This window comes from Homo sapiens, chromosome 16, assembly GCF_000001405.40.
Source record: "Homo sapiens chromosome 16, GRCh38.p14 Primary Assembly".
NCBI classification, from domain to species: Eukaryota; Metazoa; Chordata; class Mammalia; order Primates; family Hominidae; genus Homo; species Homo sapiens.
Window position 1 is genome coordinate 89087692 of NC_000016.10, and position 14704 is coordinate 89102395.

General features: G+C 56.3%; 1 protein-coding gene across 7 annotated transcripts in view, besides 4 other annotated features; it reads left to right on the forward strand.

Annotated features, from left to right (window-relative positions):
• Positions 314–813: an enhancer, noted in NCBI's record as "H3K4me1 hESC enhancer chr16:89154413-89154912 (GRCh37/hg19 assembly coordinates)". NCBI's record gives its function as "activates a minimal SCP1, AML or CMV promoter by ChIP-STARR-seq in naive H9 embryonic stem cells {active_cell/tissue: H9 hESC(naive)}" and the evidence as "EXISTENCE:reporter gene assay evidence [ECO:0000049][PMID:30033119]".
• Positions 5925–6334: a silencer, noted in NCBI's record as "silent region_7892". NCBI's record gives its function as "represses an Ori minimal core promoter by ATAC-STARR-seq in GM12878 lymphoblastoid cells {active_cell/tissue: GM12878}" and the evidence as "EXISTENCE:reporter gene assay evidence [ECO:0000049][PMID:35858748]".
• The window catches only part of ACSF3 (acyl-CoA synthetase family member 3), a 62382-nt gene continuing 53838 nt past the window's right edge, over positions 6161–14704 (forward strand). For 4 of the 7 annotated variants that reach the window (NR_147928.2, NR_104293.2, NR_147929.2 and 1 more), the window contains exons 1-3: positions 6161–6305; positions 10900–11072; positions 12971–13656. Coding sequence is in view for 3 of the 7 variants with exons in the window: in NM_001243279.3 (NP_001230208.1) it covers positions 12991–13656 (666 nt within the window). In the remaining 4 variants the exon portion in view is untranslated. The remainder of the gene's footprint in view (positions 6306–10899; positions 11073–12970; positions 13657–14704) is intronic. The other 3 variants (NM_174917.5, NM_001127214.4, NM_001284316.2) reach the window with 3 other exon arrangements.
• Positions 6755–6944: an enhancer, noted in NCBI's record as "active region_11393". NCBI's record gives its function as "activates an Ori minimal core promoter by ATAC-STARR-seq in GM12878 lymphoblastoid cells {active_cell/tissue: GM12878}" and the evidence as "EXISTENCE:reporter gene assay evidence [ECO:0000049][PMID:35858748]".
• Positions 8164–8333: an enhancer, noted in NCBI's record as "experimental_46375 CRE fragment used in MPRA reporter constructs". NCBI's record gives its function as "activates a minimal promoter by MPRAs in K562 erythroleukemia cells, with activity observed for the non-introgressed 16:89162348 variant allele {active_cell/tissue: K562}" and the evidence as "EXISTENCE:reporter gene assay evidence [ECO:0000049][PMID:34662402]".

Genomic DNA, 14704 nt, shown 5'->3' on the forward strand with positions numbered 1-14704 from the left:
GGCTTAAACAATGAACATCTATTATGTCACAGTTTCTGTAAATGTGGAATCCAGAAGCAGCCTGGCTGGGTGGCTCTGGCTCGGGGTCTCTCCTGAGGTTGCAACCACAGTGTTGTGGGGCTGCAGCCTCATCTGAAGCTTGACCGGAGCTGAAAGAGCTGCTTCTGAAGCGGCGTCTGCTCTTCACCATGTAGGCCTCTCCACACGCCTGCTTGAGTGACCTCATGATACAGCAGCCACCTCCCTGAGTGTGTGGTACAAGAGGCAGCAAGAAGGAAGCTGAACCACCCCCCGAGAAGTCACACACAGCCATCCCTTCAGCCTCCTGTTGCCGACACAGGGCAGCCTCATTCAGTACGGGACAGACACCAGGAGGCAGGGTCCCCCAGGGCCATCCTGGAGGCCAGCAGCCACGGGCAGGGTCAACCTAGACTCGCCTGACCCCATCGCGGGGCCCTGGGCCTCCACCTTGAGTGGCTGCTGACGAGCAAATCATATATGGGTCCTTCCAGGGGGATCCCTTCCTCCCACCACCACCACTCCCCGGTCAGCTTGCCGCAGAGCCTGCAGTGGGAGGGCAGTGTGTTCACAGCTCACAGAAGCACCTTTGTGAGCAAACACTGCCAGGCAGATCCGTGTTTTCCTTTAATCAAATGAAAAGGTGTGACCCACACGCCCCCAGCAGTTTCCAGGGGGCTCATTAAGGGAGATGTGGACAGAATCCGTGGCGGGGTGGTGATTCCCACCCAGCCTCTGCCAGTTTCCAGGGAGCTCCATTAGGCCAGAGGTGTGAACGGAATCAAGGAAGGAGGGTGATTGAGTCAGGGAGCGGGGGAGATTGGATCGGGGAGGGGATGATTGAATCGGGGAAGGGAGTGGTGATTGGGTCAGGGAGGAGGGTGGTGATTCCCACCCAACCTATGCCAGTTTCCAGGGGGCCCCATTAAGCCGGAGGTGTGAACGGAATCAGGGTGGGAGTGACTGAATCAGTGAGGGGGGTTGGATCAGGGAGGGGGTGACTGAATCAGGGAGGGGGGTTGGATCAGGGAGGGGGTGACTGAACAAGGAGGGGGGTTGGATCAGGGAGGGGGTGACTGAATCTGGGAGGGGGTTTGGATCAGGGAGGGGGTGATTGAATCAGGGAGGGGGTTTGGATCAGAGAGTGGGGCTACTGAATCAGGGAGGGGTGGTGTTTGCATCAGGGAGCTGGGGGTTTGTGATTCCCACCTGGCCTCTGCCAGTTTCCAGGGGCCTCCAGCTGGGAGGATTTCCTCCGGGAAAGGCTGGGGGTGGACGGGGGCACCTTGGGGCAGGCTGAGCTATGCCCACATTGTCAGGCAAGGAGGTATGGCTGGCTCCTGGAAGGGTCCACGGAAACCACGCACCTCTTGCAGAGGCTGCAGTGGCTGCAGACGCTGTCTGCTCACCGGCGAAACATCCATTCCCTGAGCATCTGCTTCAGGGGCTGGGGATGGAGATGCTAAAAATGACAGGAGCGAGAAAGAGTAGCAGTTAATATTCACCGACAGCCTCATTGGCCTGGCTCTCGACTCCTCACCGCACTCCTGAGGTGGGAGCTGTTACTACCCCCTCGTAGTTGCAGGGGAGGGGCAACCGGGAGGAGGAACACAGGGAGCTCCCGGCTGGAAGCAGGAGCGGGCTGAGCAGTCAGGACCAAGACATGCAGCATCTCACCCATTCGGGGGCCCCCCCGCCCAAGGCCCCTCCCCAGGGCACCTCTCCTCTGAGGATCGGATCCTGAACTCAAAGAACAGGCGAGAGGGCCACAGAGAGCCCCAGGAGCAGTGAGTCCCTGGGGCTCCTAGACCTCCCTAGCTCAAAGCCCTTTCACGTGGGGGCCAGCTCCCCGCCAAGCCAAGGCCCGGAGGCTGCAGTGGGCAGTGCCACAAGGCTGAGCTGGGAGCCAGGCAAGAGTTCTCTTTGGAGGCAGCTGCATCCCCTTCCATGGGGTCCTGCAGACCTTCTTTCCGCAGAGTTGGGGATCCCAGTGCACAGATAACTTCGTGTGCTGATTTTTAAGTTTGAGGTTCTCATTCAACATTAGACCGTCATACACAATTCCCACGTTTCTATTTGGCGTCATGATTAATGGCTGCAGAGCCGCTCTTATTTGGCCATCTCCTGATTCACTAAAGTCTGTGCTGGGATATCCAGGCTGTTTCCTGATTTGTGGCTGCTGTAAACCACCCTGGCACAAACATCATTGAGGATCCAGCTTTGCAGATCATTTGTTCTTTATGAAGGAGTTGGTCTGGTGTTGCATGCAGAAAAGTTTGGTTTTCAGCAGAGGGGGGTGTCATTTGTTCATTGAATCTCACAGCGATGCAAAGAGAGGCATGTCTGGGGGCAGGGGTGGGGGTAAAGGATGCCAAATTCTGGTTTCAAATCCCAGCTCGGCCGCTTTCTAGGTACGTAAGCATGGACAAGTGACATCAATTCCCCGAGCCTCAGTTTCCTCATTCGTAAAACGGCACAATGCAATCCTTTGCCCGAGAGTCATTGTCACTGCCCTCAGAGCCCAGCTCCATGCACCGCAGAGAGGGGCCCTGGCACTCGTGTCTGAAGTCCTGGCCGTGTGCTCCTGCAGCACTCTTGTGCTTATCACCACACGGCACGTATTTCTCCTCCCACCTGCACCCTCGTGCTGGGAACGTGCCTGAGGGCACATTTGCACCTGCACAGACACTCCTGCCAGCGAGTCTCCTGAAAGGCAGGAGGCCAGGAGAGGCCGTGGGGGTGTTCCGTGTCTGGTATTAGACAGTAGCAGCTGGTGGCACGATGATAAGGCTTGGCCCATGGAGAGTCATCTTGTTCCTCTCCATGACATGCACCTGCTGGAAGGCGACTTCCCGGAATCCTCTTGGTTTATTTAGGGAACAGGGGCAAGAATCCAGCTGAAAGTGGCCGAGTTCACGTGGTCACCTGGAGTGTTTCCTTTCCTCTTCCTCTAAAAACTATTTCATAGTGTAGTTTAACTTTTATACTTATCAGTTGTACGTCCACAAAGTTTAAAGAACTACCCTCCCCTTCCTGCTCACCAGAGGTGAACCTTTGTTCTGATTCTCTTGGTGTTTACCCCCTGGAGGTTCCTGTGGTCTCCTGCCAGGCCTGCCCAGGCCACACCACACACCTTCCACCCCGGGTCCCTCCCGTCGTCTGCGATAAACTCGTTCGATCAGCGGCAGTTTTGCATGCTGATGGTTACACTGTAGATGTTGAAATGATCGTAGTTTAGTAAATGCTATGGACAGCGGAGCCTCCTACAGCAACATGATCACGTGCCCTTTGCTGGCAAACACATCTTCCTGTGTTCCCAGTGTTTAATCTCTGCCTTATTTTTCTTGATTAGTTTTCTATGTATTGATCATCTATCCCTAAACTTTGCTTGCATTGTTCAAGTCTCCTCTCAACATGGTAAACACACAGGACACTCTGTCCACCATCTTCCCGCGGGGGGATTGCCCCTGCCTGCCAGGCCAGGACTCCCGGGAGTCACAGGAAACAAGGCCAGAGGGGAGGAGGGCGGGGCTCGGGGACCTGGTGGCCACAACAGGGCTTGGGCAGGACCCCCTGTGGGTTCTGAGCAGGATCCCACTCAGGTTTTAATGGGGCTACTCCAGCCACTGTTGGGTTCTTCATGAATCCAGTGAGGACTCCTTTAGGAAACAAGGCTTTCCTGGTCTGGGTGGTTACAGCAGCGCTGGTGGGACAGTCTCTGACAGAATTTGCAGGAGAAACCAGTAGGACTCAATGTGGTGTGGGAGGGAAGCAGGGAGCCATAGACTGAACCCCAGGATCGAGGGTGAGATGCAAAGTGTGAGGGTGGGGGCGCTGCTGCGGGGGAGACCTGAGCTCCTCTGGGGCCACATCGGGGTCTGATGTCTCTTGGATGTCCCAGTGAGATGCCAGGTGGGCACTTAGGACCCTCCCTGTCCACATGTTCTAAACTACATTGACGTCGTCTGCCTGGTTGGTGCGGCCACTTTCACTCCCTGCGCTGGATGTTCTGCAGCCCTTCGTCTGCTAATGTCCACGAGTTTACCTGACAGCTGACTTCTCTCTGTTTTCTCTGCCCTCCCTTCCTGAAACTACCGTATTTAGCATATTGGATGCCTGCCTGAGCCCACTGATTTTTTTATCTTTCCTCTCCTGTTTTTCATCTCTCGGTCTTTCTGTTCTATTTCTAGGAGACGTCCTTTAGCCCTTCCCTTAGGGTTTTTACTCAGGCTGTTGTATTCTGACCCCTCCAGCCCCCCTTTATGTTACTGGAACGCTCTTTCTCGGGGCATCTCGCTCTGGACTCATGGGGGCTGTCGCTTCCCTTGTCTCCCTGAGGGTATTAACAGGGGGTGGTTTTGGGGGTCTCTTCACTCTGCACAGCCTGGCTGCCTGCAGTTGTTCTGCTGGTTGTTTCAGCCCACGTCTCTCTGGCTAGAGGCTGTCCTCCAATGTCTGCTAATCCCTGACTGCTCCTGCTTCCCACCTGCCACTATGATGCTGACCAGAGCCGAGGCACAGATGGGACCCCTGCTCATAGGATGACTGGGCCATTTCTCGGAGACTGCACCCTCCCCCCACTGCCACCCTCACAGAGCCATGGCCAAGGACCACGGGAGCTGTCACCCTGTCCCAAGTCCTGTCTCTAGGTGGGTGACGCAGCCTGAGCTCTTCAACTTCCCAGGGATAGAAATTTGCGCACACACGTCCTGGGGCTGAATCCTGATGTTAGACGCCCTCCTTACTCTTCCTACTGCCCTCGTCGGAAACACCATTCAGCCTGCTGAGTCCTGGAAGCAGACAGAATTCTGACACCAGATCAAGCCTGTCCCAGTGGCAGAGGGTTGGACTTGCTTTTTCTGCATGATACCTAGCAGGGTGGCAACCAGAGGCACTAGAAGTTTGGGTTTGTTCTCCCACGCTCTGTGTTACAAACTTCCCCCAGATCCAGCTCCTTCCTCCCAGGAAAACCATCCTCGGGCTCCTGAAGTGCCCTTTCCTGAGCTTTCCAAGGACACAACTGCTGCCCCAGCAATCATCACAAGAGAGGAAGATGGGCATGGAAAATAATACACTTACAAAAAAACTGTGCAAGGTTCTGCAGATAATTTTTTTTTTTTTTTGAGACAGTCTCACTCTGCTGCCCAGGCTGGAGTGCAGTGGCGCAATCTCAGCTCACTGCAGTCGCCACCTCCCAGGCTCAAGAGATTCTCCTGCCTCAGCCTCCCGAGTAACTGGGATTACAGGCACCTGCCACCACTCCCGGCTAATTTTTGTATTTTTAGGAGAGACAGGGTTTCACCATGTTGGTCAGGCTGGTCTTGAACTCCTGACCTCGTGATCTGCCTACCTCGGCCTCCCAAAGTGCTGGGATTACAGGCGTGAGCCATCACACCAGGACGGTTCTGCAGATAATTTGTACTACTGTTTGCCAGTACATGTCTTTGTGTTATTAGTATTCATTTTAGGGGAAAAACCCTCAAATTTCAGCCAACTGGACTTTGTGTTTGGCTTTAAATGTTTTCCGCCACTGTCCATCCAACAGTCTCGCTTCATATTCGTATCCTGGTTCCCAAGTCCCTTCGAGGAGAGATTCTCAAATGCGGTCCGTTTAAAATCACCCAAGAAATACAAAAATTAGACAGGCATGATGGCGGGCGCCTGTAGTCCCAGCTAATTGGGAGGTTGAGGCAGGAGAATCACTTGAACCCGGGAGGCGGAGGTTGCGGTGAGCCGAGATCACACCACTGCACTCTAGTCTGGGCGACAGAGCGAGACTCCATCTCAAAATAATAATAATAATAAGAAAAAGTAACAACAATAATAATAATAATAAAATCACCCAGGAGCTCAGCGTGCAGACCCCCAGCCGCAAAGCCCAGAGAGCCCCTTTTGGGAGGACGGGGCGAGGCCCAGCAATCCGCGTTGGGAGTGGTCCCGCGCGCCGTTCTGATCTGGGCAGCCCTGGGCTAGCGGAGACCACGGCGCCTTGCCTCGGCCACGGCTCACGAGACGCCCGCGGCCCCGACCCCGCCACGACGGGACGGGCGGGACAGGGGAACACGCGCGCCCGGAACCCGCCGCCACGGCGCCGCGCCGGGGGGACGCGCTTGGGCGACGGACGCGCCGCGCCGGGGAAGCTGTTGGGCGCCGGAACTGGTCCGGCCCGACTCACGACCCCGCGGGACCCGGCCGGAACCCGGCCCGACCCCGGCGCGCGCGCGGCGGAGGACGAGGAAGAGTTGTGGCGAGGCAGATCCTGCCCCGTGGCCGCGGCCGTCTCGTAGGTGCGGGCGGCGGGGCCCACGGGACCGCGGCGGGGTCGGCCGGGCGCAGAGCTCTCGGGGGCGCGGGCTCCGGCGCCCGCCCCTGGGTCGCAGCTGGGCTTGAGCCGTGGCCCGTGGCGCGGTCGCTTCCCCGCGAGCCGCCTGGGGCCGGGCGTCGGCCTTCCCGGGACGCCGAGCCTCTCGTGTCCGGTGGGGAGCGGGGCCCCCGCGCGGGGTGCGGGGAGAGAAGCTGTGCGGACGCCGGGCCCGGTGATACCGTCGAGCCGGCGGGGTCCGTGTTCAGGCATCCTCAGAACGAATCGTCTTTGGTTGTGTTTGGAATAAATTCACTTCCATTTCTCATTGGGCTTCAGAAGTCACCCTTGAAGTACTCCCCGTTTTAGTTGTTTGCTGCGTGCACCTTGCTGGGCGCGTGGGGCACAGGTTCACAGCCGGCCTAGCCCCTGAGGGCATGTAGATCTATGAGCAAGCAATGGAGACGTGCGGCCGGCCGTGAAGTATTTGGAAGGTACTGCAGGCAGCCCATTCCCTGGAGAGAGGGAAGGTTTAAAGGGGTGAGGCCCGGTGCAGTCAGGAGTTGATGTTGCTGTCCTGAGTCTAAATTCCACCAGGCAGGCCAGGTGCAGTGGCTCATGCCTGTAATCCCAGCGCTTTGGGCAGCAGAGGCAGGAGGATCACTTGTGGCCAGGAGTTCAAAGCCAGCCTGGGCAACATGGTGAGACCCCTATCTCTACAAAAAAATGTAAAAATTAGCTGGGTGTGGTGGCGTACACCTGCACTTCCAGCTACTGGTTAGGCTGAGGCACGAGGATTTCTTGAGCCCAGGAATCGGAGGCTGCAGTGAGCCATGACAGCACCATTGCACTCCAGCCTAGGTGGCAGAGCAAGACACTGTCTCAATAAATAATAAAACTGAAAAAGAAGAGGTGATATTTGAACTGGGCTTGGAAGAATGATTAGGAATTTGCTAGAAAGGGAACACGTTTAGAGATAGGAACACGAATTGTGTCTGGGGCATAGTTGTTGCTTTCCCATCCTGGGAGGACAGACATTCGTGTTAGGGCCCAAGGCTGAGACCTTGTTGAGGAGGGGGTTCACATGGTGGACCCAGGAGCACGGGTGTTACTACCGGTGGACCCTGGGGACCCTGCGAGCTTTGTAGCGTGAAGCCTGGCTCAGGCTGGTGTCCTCTCCGCAGGTGTTGGAGGACATAAGATGAGGCTTCCCTTGCTCTTGCTCCTTTGGCTCTGAACCATCTCCTCAAGGCAGACAGAAATGGCGGATTAAACTGTGGGCTTGGGATAGTTGTAAGTGTCACCTTTCCAGATGGCATTTTTAAAATAGTATTTTTCTTCCTAAAATGGATATGGGTTTCAAGTGTATTTTTCCTTTTTGGTTTTTTTTATTTGAATGTACTGCTCATGAATGCAATGTGAATGTCTGTTACTTAAAAATGTAATTTTGAAAATAACCCTCCAAACCACAGGTGTGATGCTGAAACGCATCCTGCCCCGCAGGCCGAGCACAGCCCTCCTCTGCCCCACGCTCTCATCGGGGCAGCCGACAGGAGGAAGTGCCGGCATCCACTTCAAACACAAGGTCTGGGGGGGCGGGGGTGTCAGGTGTGGTGGTGAACAGGTCAGGTGTCGTTTTATTCATGTTGAAAGCAGCCCTTCATTTGAATGCGAGTGTCATTCTCATCTAGTAATTTTTGTTGCGAGGCTCCATGGGGAGCACCCTGCTGAGCACGGCGCGGCCGTTTGTCTTCTGCCTGGCCTGTGCCGGGCCATTCGTACATTCTCACGTGAAGCCTGTGAGGCAGGTCTTGTTACTGTGCCATCTTAGCGGTGGGAAGTGAAGGGCTAGGCCAGTGAGGAAATGAGGACAAAGGCAGCAGCCGTTCAAGTCGAAGCCTGTGGTGACTAACTCTGCCATTAACCAGCACTCCAGTTAGGAGGGAAAAGATGCATCCCGCTGCGCTGCATGTGTGTTCCCGAGAAGCCCCAGTGCCTTAGTGGTCTGATCTCAGAACCTGATGGCTAGAACACCGAGAGGTCCTGCCTCCCTCCCCGAGGGCTGGAGAGCCACTGTTTTCAGTGGTTCCAGTACGCCTTCACCAAGGAGGCTGTCCTGGCTCAGGCACCTTTCTCAGCTTCTGACTAGAGTCCTTGCCCAGCCACGTGGTGACGCCGCTGACCTCGGGTTATCAGGGTGCTGCGTAGCAGGGGTATGAAGCTGGCTGAGGGTGGAAGCCCCTGACTGAACTGCATTTGTCTGGTGGGCAGTGTCCCTCCACACTGTGCTCCTGGTGGTGATGGGGAGCCCCACGGTAGAAGGGGTCCCAGTGGTTGAAAGGTGAGGTTCTCTCTGAGGAAGCTGGGGTGCCTCTGGACCGGGAGGTGTGCAGGAAGACCGCGCACAGCCATCTGCCCTGAGTAGGCTCTGTCTGCGTGTTCGAGGCAGGGCTCTGATCCGATGACCGTGAAGATTCAACCTCTGTGCTGAAGAGAACTGATGACTGGGCACTTCATTGTCCCAAGCCTGAGGGACTGAAAAGCTGGTTTGATGGGGCTGGTTCCGTTTTCCACATGCTTGGTGGGAGAATAAATCAGCACCTCGTTGGAGGGGACTTTGTCAGTATTTCTCAAAATTAAAGATGACCCAGCAATGTGACTTCCCGGCATCTGTGCCCTAGACACCCCGAGTGAACACAGCTGTAGGTGCCAGGACTCCCCCCTTCCCTCGGCCGACTCTGGCTAGGCCAGGCCCTTCTCACCCTCCATAGGAAGCCTCCCCACCAGGCCCCCGTCCGTTCCTCCTGCCCGTGGCCTCTCCTCATAGCGCGTGGGCTCTCTGGGAGCTGGGACCATGTCACACGGGGCCAGTCACATCTGTCACCTCCCAGGGGCTGGTGGCAGGAGTGCCCACCCACAGGCAGCGCTCTGGATTCCGCGCAGGAGAACAGCAGTTTCTTCTCAGCCTGCACTTTGAGTTTGCCCAGCCCAGCTGTGCACGTCAGCATCACCAGCTCTGCTGAGCTCTGGGTTTTGTGGGGAATCCACTCTTATTCTTCCGTGGCTTCGCCCTGCGGGGTGACTCAGGAATTTGTAGAAATGCCAAAAGGGGGGCTGTGCTCTGGTAGTGTGTGCTGTGTGTGCTCAGCGTGTGGTTAGCGTGTGCTCAGCGTGTGGTTACCGTGTGCACAGCACGAGCTTGAACTCGCTTTGTCAGAACTCGGTTCTTTGTGGTCTGCAGAAACCTTTTCTGAGCAGCAGCTTTAGTTAGAGGGAAGCCGTCATCCCCCTTTTATGTGCTTCTGTCATATTGAGAAACAGCTACACACAATGACAGGCACCTTCTATATTGAGTGAGTGTCGCCGGCCGTCCTAGTGCTCCGCTCCTTAGCACCCCAGAAAGCACCGTCCCCTGCTCCGAGCACCCAAGGCACTCCCTGTGGCTCTCAGCAGCGGAAGTCTGGCCTCGGGGCCGTAACCCAGAGCACCCAGTGCCCAGTCGGTTTTCTGTGTGTGGATTCTCCTTGTTTCTGTGCCCTCACACCTGTAAAGCAGTGCAGGATCGGTTGGAAGTGAGGAAGGAAGCGTGGTGGGGCCGCCCTGGTTTGCTGCTTTCTGAAGCTGGCACAGCCCACGTGCCGATCTCGTGTCTTGTGTCTGGTGAAGCCCAGTTGTTTTCTTGCCATTCTCTGGGTTTCTCTATGGTAGCAGAGTCCAGGTGTGTGGGCGGACCAGCCACTGCCCTGCCTCTGAACAGCTGTGGAGGGCTTCTAGAACATGGGTGCCTCGCGTCAGGAGATGATGTGGCCTGCAGGACTGACCGTTTGGTAGGATTCAGAGAAGACTCACACAGGACGTCCAAGCAGCCCGCGGAGCTGTGCTGAGGTTCAGGGCCCTGCGTGGCTCGTTTTCCTCCTGCCTGGGCCAGAGGCAGGAGATCCCTCAGCTGGCTGGGACAGGGGACTTCATTAAGAGCCCCAGGCTACCTGGGAGGCGGAGCTTGCAGTGAGCCGAGATCGTGCCACTGCACTCCAGCCTGGGTGACAGAGCGAGACTCCGTCTCAAAAAAAAAACAAAAGAGCCCCAGGCTAGTGGGGAAACCAGACACCCAAATCAAACAAGCAAAAACCAAGGCCAGTAGTTGAGGGTCTCAAGCACAAAACATACTTTGGCTCTGACAATTTTCATTGTCATGAAGTTTGTTTTGTTAGACAACTATGAAGTGTTGTGACGGTTTCAAACTAAGAGCAGAAAACAAAACTGTTTAGTACAAACCACAGACAATAACACAGTAGCTTTCCCCTCACAAGTTAATGAAAGAGATGTGCTGGAGAGAGAGAACCTGCTGAACATGGGCACAGATCCCACAGAGGGGGCGTGGTGTGTGGGAGGAGACTCGACAGGGTCATGGGGTCACTGCTGCCCGTTGTCGGGAGATAAGGCTCACAGCTTTATTTGATAATGTTGTCTTTAGCTTGTAAATGAACATGCTTCCCTTCCCCCATTGAGTGTTGAGTGTTGTGCCTGTGGGAAGCGTTATACACACAGCCTGGGACCTCAGCACAGATGCCCGTTGACAGGTGTCCCACCGGCCTTCCGGGTTCCAGCGCCAGGCCTGGTGCCTGCCCCAGGAGGATGAGCATTTGCATTGCCTGCACCTTATCGTGCCCTTCCACCTGCTGAAGCAGCTGTGCCTGCCGCTCTTGTGAACTGCGAACTTCCCCTTACCTCCTCTCTCTGGCTCGGGAGCTGGGTGAGTTTGAACTTGGCCTCCTTTGCTTTTCTGTGTGCGAACAAGTGGTTGCCTTGTTTGTTTACTGAACAGAGTGTGGTTGAGGCAAAATGCTGAGATGAAACCTAACCTAATATGTGTGTATTAGACGGTAGCATCATTGTCAAAATAATACTTGTTCAAAGTCCCTGAAAACCAAACGGACAACTTGACTACGCTTCGGCCACAGGCCTGGGACGCTGTCAGACCGAGGGCCGCTGAGTGCCCAGTGGCAGCAGAGCCCAGAGGGTGCTTCCCCCAGGAAGGGAGGCAGACCAGCCTATTCTTACTGTGAGTCGAGCAAAGCTTTGATTATAAAGGGCCAGGGATGCAGGAGCCTCGTGGAGAGTGCCACCCCTTCTTCTCGCTCTGGAATGCGGGGGCTGTGCCCCTGGCCTGTGTCCGCATCCTGGGGCGGTGTCCCGTGGGCAGTGTCCTCTGGCTGCAGAATGCATGTTGCAGAATTGGACCAGCCCTCACGCGTCAGGAGCGTTGGGCCCACAGGCGGAGGCACCCTGGCTTCTTCTCGGTCTCCTTTCTCTGAATGAAGAATTCCAGTGGACGGCGGGCCCGCGCGACCCCTCCCAGGGAGCCCTCGCTTCCTGCTGATTTATTTGTTATTTAGTAGTTAAGTTTTTGGGGGGAAAGGAGAGAATTATAGTTCAACCTAAAACACGTTTTCTAGCTCTGTGAATTGCCTGATTTAAAGCTTGGCTTGGCTGGGTGCAGTGGCTCACACCTGTAATTTCAACACTTTGGGAGGCCAAGGTGAGTGGATCACCGGAGGTCAGGAGTTGGAGACCAGTCTGGTCAACATGGTGAACCCCTCGTCTCTACTAACAATACAAAAATTAGCCAGGCATGGTGGTGCGCACCTATAATCCCAGCTAGTCAGGAGGCTGAGGCAGGAGAATCACTTGAACCCAGGAGGCGGAGGTTACAGTGAGCCCAGATCACACTACTGTACTCCAGCCTGGGTGACAGACCAAGACTGCATCTTAGATAGATAGATAGATAGACAGAGCGGGTGAGACTCCATCCCAGATAGATAATAAAGAGAGAGAGAGAAAGGAAAAAAAGGTGAGAGAGAGGAGAGAGAGAAAGAAAAGAAAAGAAGGAAAAAAGCATGGCTTACACCTGCCATAACCCCAGGACTTTGGACCAGCCTGGGCAATACAGTGAGACCTTGTCTCTACCAAAAAAAAAAAAAAAAGCTGGGTGTGGTATCACATGCTTGTGGGCCCAGCTACTCGGGAGGCTGAGGCCACAGGATGGCATGAGCCCAGGAAGTCGAGGCTGCAGTGAGCCATGATTGCATCACTACACTCCAGCCTGGGCGACACAGCAAGACCCTGTCTCAAAAAAACGAACCTTGGCACCTCACCACATTTCCACTGCGCACCAGTGTGGGAAGGGTCTGAGAGAGGCAGCGCCGTGTCTGCCCCGGGGGCGGGGTCTCCAGGCCATGCCTGTTGTGAGCGGGGGCTGTGCTGAGCTCTTCTCTGCACTTCCCCCTCTCACGGGTGGTTTTCCAGGCTCAGGATTCTAAAACCCATTATTCAGATGTACCTTAAGTGTGTTGAATTTTATATGCTTCTCCTTGGTTTTACCTAGTTTATTTCATTGTTTAGAATTTTGTGTGGTTTGGGAATCCTTAAACTCATGAAGTGAAATAGAAAGCTGAGATGCTGGGCACGTACGGAACGTTCCAGCAGTGTGGGTGAGAAAGGCTGGACGTGGCCTGTCTGGTGCGCTGCCTCATGACTGAAGGTGCAGCAGGCGTACCTGGCTGGGTACTGGGGAGGTGTTTTAAATCCTGTCTTGGCCACGTTTGGATGGGACAGTTGGGCACTCACGTCCTGTGCCTTGCCTTTCTCCAGCTCGGCCGCCTGTCAGTGCAATGCTGCCCCATGTGGTGCTCACCTTCCGGCGCCTGGGCTGCGCCTTGGCGTCCTGCCGGCTGGCGCCTGCGAGACACAGAGGAAGTGGTCTTCTGCACACAGCCCCAGTGGCCCGCTCGGACAGGAGCGCCCCGGTGTTCACCCGTGCCCTGGCCTTTGGGGACAGAATCGCCCTGGTTGACCAGCACGGCCGCCACACGTACAGGGAGCTTTATTCCCGCAGCCTTCGCCTGTCCCAGGAGATCTGCAGGCTCTGCGGGTGTGTCGGCGGGGACCTCCGGGAGGAGAGGGTCTCCTTCCTATGCGCTAACGATGCCTCCTACGTCGTGGCCCAGTGGGCGTCATGGATGAGTGGCGGTGTGGCAGTCCCCCTCTACAGGAAGCATCCCGCGGCCCAGCTGGAGTATGTCATCTGCGACTCCCAGAGCTCTGTGGTCCTTGCCAGCCAGGAGTACCTGGAGCTCCTGAGCCCGGTGGTCAGGAAGCTGGGGGTCCCGCTGCTGCCGCTCACACCAGCCATCTACACTGGAGCAGTAGAGGAACCGGCAGAGGTCCCGGTCCCAGAGCAGGGATGGAGGAACAAGGGCGCCATGATCATCTACACCAGTGGGACCACGGGGAGGCCCAAGGGCGTGCTGAGCACGCACCAAAACATCAGGGCTGTGGTGAGTGCCGCCTGGCGCCGTGATGGTTTCGGTGACCGCACAGCACTCCGGGTGGGCTCCGGGCCAGAAGCACATCTTTTCATTCGCTTTTCTGTGGAGTCATTCACAGTTGTCACCATCCTGCAGACCCGTGTGAGATACAGGGACGCAGGCCCTCGGGGTGTGGCCGCTGGCCTCACTGGCCACGCAGGACGGCTCTGGGAGCGTCCAGGTGTAGAGGGATTGAGGGGCCGCCGAGTGACCCTGCCAGGACCATGCGGCATGAGGTCAGAAGGGACCACTCACTGCCTGTGATGCTGAGGGGCTTTTCGGAGGCCAGCCACGTGTTAGGATGCGTGGTCAGGACCCCACATACACCCGGGTCTTACTCGTTTTTTGTGTGTCCTGTGACCTCAGTCACATCTTCACAGAACTCTCCAACCACATCACTTACCTGGCATTTGTACAGTGTCATAACGTCTCCTATGCACTTGAAGCAATCAAGTAAAAATGAAAACCAAAAGCCAGGAAGGGGAAGGCAGGAAGTGTACCCCACGGAGTCGTGGGCTGACGAGGCGCCATGAGCACACAGCAGGCTGGGCCCTGGGTGGCCTGCGCCGTCACTCCTGGAAGCGGCGCGCCTGTCGGGAGGGACGGGCTCTGGACTCCTCTGTCCTTGCTGAGGGGAGTGACATGCACATGTGCTTCTCCCTGGAGCCTGTGCAGGCAGCAGGCAGTGTCCTCCGTGAGATTGGACAGAGGATTCAGTGGGCCGTGCCTCACGCTGCTTCTCAGTAAGAGCTGAGGGTGTGCTCTGGAGCCTGGCCTGGGTTCTGTCCCGGCTGAGCAGGTGACGATAATTCACGAATCGGCAGAGCTCTGTGTGGGCAGTGCTGTCACCTGAGCCAGTGGTTGGGCTGGGAGTCGATTCCAGCCTGAATGGCGCTGGGTCCCTGAGTCCCAGGCTTGGGCAGGGGCGGAGCTCTGTCGACCTGGTGTCTGCAGAGCCACTCCCCGACCTTCTAAATTCCCTAAAGCCTCTGGCTGTGTGTGGCGCTGTCCTCTGTCC